General features: G+C 32.9%; 1 annotated feature.

Moving 5' to 3' along the window:
* Positions 1,085–1,254: an enhancer, noted in NCBI's record as "experimental_78652 CRE fragment used in MPRA reporter constructs". NCBI's record gives its function as "activates a minimal promoter by MPRAs in K562 erythroleukemia cells, with activity observed for both the introgressed and non-introgressed 4:36886365 variant alleles {active_cell/tissue: K562}" and the evidence as "EXISTENCE:reporter gene assay evidence [ECO:0000049][PMID:34662402]".

Here is a 4,263-nt window from a genome sequence, read left to right as displayed (position 1 = left end):
TTATCTTAAGTTGATTAATGAGGGAACAGAAAGCCAAATACGACATGTTCTCACTTACAAGTGGGAGCTAAATAAACATAGAGCACACAAAGCCACAAAGAAGGGAACAATAGACTCCGGGCCCTACTTGCGGGTGGAGGTTGCGAGGAGAGTGAGAATCAAAAAACTACCTATTGGGTACTATATTTACTACCTGCATGATGAAATAATTTGTACACCAAACCCCAGTGACATGCAATTTACCCATGTAACAAACTTGCACATGTACACTCTGAATCTAAAATAAACGTTGGAAGGAAAAAGAAAAAAGAATCCACTCACAGTTCTGCATATACAAAGTTACATGTAAAAACTCATGAAAACATTCAATGGCAATTCTAGAACTTAAAAATGTCATAAGTTACTACCTCAGAATGTTTTCATCAAAAAAGCTAAAGGGAAGAGTAGCGATCTAGAAAATGACAGAAGACAATAACAGACTTAAGCATGAAGTAAAAAAAGAATAAAACATCTATAGGAAATAAATGGGACTTGTTGAAAGTGTCATATATCTACATATTCGATTGAAGTTTATGGAAGAATGGAAAGAGAAAAAGTGACATAAGCAATATTTTATATACTGATGACCAATTTTTTTAATAAAAAAGTCTCAATTCATAGAACCAATATGTGCTTCAAATTGCAGTCAGGATACATATTAAAAAACCCTAAACATACAATAATATGTACACATTTTTAGGTAATTAAATATATATTTTTGATTGGCATTTAACACCTACTTTTCTAGAAATGCATTTAATAGATTTCTAAAGTAGATATGTTTAACTTATAATATATTAGAAATAGAAATTATTAACATTGGATTAACAATGTGGTTATGCAATTATATTTGCACTTTATATCAATGATGATGCTGAGGTCTAGAAAATTTGAGCAACTTACTTAAAGTACTTCATGATGAAAAGAAATAATACATTATAAATGGTAAAATTTAAAAATAATGAAAATAAGATATAATACAAAAATTAAAATTTTAGCTCAAATTTTTCTTATGACAGAAACTATTGTTTCTTTATCAAAATATCCTTTTCATTTTTCATCCTAATAATAGAATTATCATTTGTGTGAACATAATTCTCATTATGTAACTCTCGGGAGATAATTCTCCATGAATATTTTTACACTGATGCATGGTCTAGGCCTTCTGAGCAATCACTGATAAGGTTAGGGAATGACTGAACAACTAACATGCTTTAAAAGCTAACAATAGTTTATTCTTTAGAAGAGATTTAGAGATGTGTCTCCCCAGAGACAATCACTTACTTTCCGGGGTAAGAAACCTAGAGGCTTAATCCATCTCTCCTCTCCCCAAAGTATATTTGTTTACATTCACAGTAAAAGTATTTTTCCTTCCAGAGAAGATCGGTAGTTGTGCCAGAATTCCCTGTATACACTGAGTTTGATCATTTTGGTGTTCCTCTTCTGGGATGCAAACACACTATATATGCAGGCAGTTACTGATTCTCAGAACCTCCTGTCTTAAGAGGAACTGGAGTGAGGGCAACTGACACAAACCATGAGTAATTAACTGCCTAGGTCCATGAACCAGAAATCCTGAGGCGCCTGTCAGAATTTACATATCAAACTATGGCAGGATAACTTGTTTGCTTGCATATAGGGTAAAATTTCAGACCCTTCACAGTTTTTGAGTTAAACTTCCAGTGTTCAACCAAAATACCGTATTCCCCAGCATCCCTTGAAGTTGAAAGCAGCCAAGTGATCCAGTTCTCAACAATGATACAAAAGCAAAAGTTGTTGTTTGGGACTTTTAAAATGTTCTTTTCCCCTGGATTCTCCTGTTTCCTGAAATATGGTTATAATGGCTGGGGACACAGCGTCCTTCTTTTGTTACTACAAGGTGATTTTGAGAGTTGGATAATAAAGGTTTACATGTAATAATGAGAAAATGGTTATTTATAACCAAGGGCGATATTATGAAAGAAAAAAGATTATTTCATCCATTCGCTCAATCAGCAAATATCATATTGACAGAATCTGTACTGGATGGTAGGAATACAAAGATGAATAAAACTCAGTTTCTATTTTCAAAGAGCTGTAGCAGGGAAGGAGAGACAAAAACTAATAACTGAAATAATTTGTAGTAAGAGCTATATAATGTAATGCACATAATATGATATAAACAATATTTATAGTTATACACATCTTCAAATTCCTTGTCTTTCTCTTGCTTCCTAGCACATGCTTGGCTAAACTAATCTTGGTAAAACCCAACTCTCAATGCCTATCCTCATGAAGTTGCATGTACCTGAAAAACACATGAGAATATTCTCAGAAGTCTATAGTCCTTTTACTTTCTCATTATCTTGGATGGCTATTCATTTCTTCTTCTCTTTTTTCTAATTTCCAAAATCTGCTTTACAACCTAACTCCTCTATTACTTCCCAGTTGCTCCACTACTTTCATTGCCAGCTAATAAACTTTCTTACTAATTTATTGAGTAAATAGAATTGGAAACGAACTTCTTCAAGTTCCCACAAACACATCTGTCCCTTTACCTGCATATATCCATATCTGCTCTACCTTCTCTCCTGTTACTAAGGGTTAATTTTTCTATTTCACACATAAGGCTAACCCCTTCACTTACATAATATTTCCTATCCATTTTTGCAAATTAAAGACATTGCTCCATAAATTTTTCCCCTTTTCTGAATCGATATTTTTTCTCTCTCTTTTCGATCATTCCCATAAGCAAATAAACTTCACAGACATGTTTTTCAAGTAATGAACCAAAGCCTAAAGAGATATCAAAGTCAATAAACATAAGGAAGACTCAGAATGATATGGATTGATCAACAAAAGGAGACCAGAGGGTAAAGTAAACATCTCAGCAAATGTCCACAGATACGAACAGTAGTCAGGGAGTAAACTGATACTCTGACACTGTGCATATCTTAAGCAATTTAGATACAACTCTGGGACAAAAAAGGAGGGAGAGATACCCTTGAGGAGACTGAGAACATTTATGACTTGATTACAATTTTTTAAATTGGAAATGAAACCTAAGATAAAATGTTGACATACACATAAAGGTAGACTTTTTAAGCAAAGGAACCCCTGAATTTGTAATTTTAGATGTTATACACACTTATATGTATTCAGTTTAAATTTCATCTAATTGTTATTATAGGATTTGGAAGTTTGACAGAAAATCATGTAAAGTTAAACTGTACTGTAAAAATAATCTATCAAACCACTAATCAAAAAATAAGATTCATTGTTTAAAGGATCAATAAAAGGTACTTTAACAACAGTATGTATAGAGTCATATGGTACATTGGCCTTTGGGAGGATATTCTAATTAGCAAAAGAAGTACTGGGGCTGAAGAAGTACTTGGGAAACCAAAATTTCATTGTAGAGGAGTTTAATATGCAAATCAAGTTGGATTCTTTAGGCTCTCATTTTAACTGAAACTAAATGTGTATCCCAAAGGAGAAATTTTCAACTAACTAGAAGTTGCATGTTTTAAACTCCTACATGTCATGCTATTACTTAATCTTAATTACTCTTTTTTAAAAAAACTTTTTTTGTTTGCTTGATAAAACCTTGAATAGAATACAAAAATATTGTTTACTTGTGTAGTACAGTCTTAGATGTTCAAGACCAGAGATTATGTCTCTCCATTCCCTAGTGTCCAGGCCAACCAGAAACAAGCCTAATTGTATGCTTTTCTTTACCACTTGACCAGTTTTCACAGCTTGATGTATCATCAACTTCAAGATTCTTCTAAATTTAGAAAATGAGTTTGCCCATAACTTGGCACTGATGAGATCCTTTTCCTTTAGTTTCTGAAAACACGACTACTGAAGCAAATAAAGTACTATCTTGTTTGTTTCTATAAAGAGGCAGAAAATAAGTGGAAAGTACATTGACTATTTTGCTTTTTCAAAAATATACTCTCTTGGGGAAATGATTGTGCTGTCTGCAAATGAGTTTGAAAGCCTGATCTGACACTGATGTTCTTTATGCATCATTTAATTGTTTCATGTTTAATTGCATTACGACAAAGCCAACATCTGTGGCAATGAAGATATAAAGTATATTTTGTAAACTTAGAAAAGTAGAATGAAGTCACAGAGCAGATTTCTCCACAGGGAAAAAAAAAATCCATGGAATAGACTAACCATCATTTTTATATTAAGGACAGAGGAAGCCATCATAAAGCAAAAGCCAGCAAGTTAGTA

The sequence above is a fragment of the Homo sapiens genome, chromosome 4, assembly GCF_000001405.40.
Source record: "Homo sapiens chromosome 4, GRCh38.p14 Primary Assembly".
In the NCBI taxonomy this organism is placed as follows: Eukaryota; Metazoa; Chordata; class Mammalia; order Primates; family Hominidae; genus Homo; species Homo sapiens.
The sequence above is the reverse complement of the archived record's forward strand: the minus strand, read 5'-3'. Positions and strand labels throughout refer to the sequence as shown.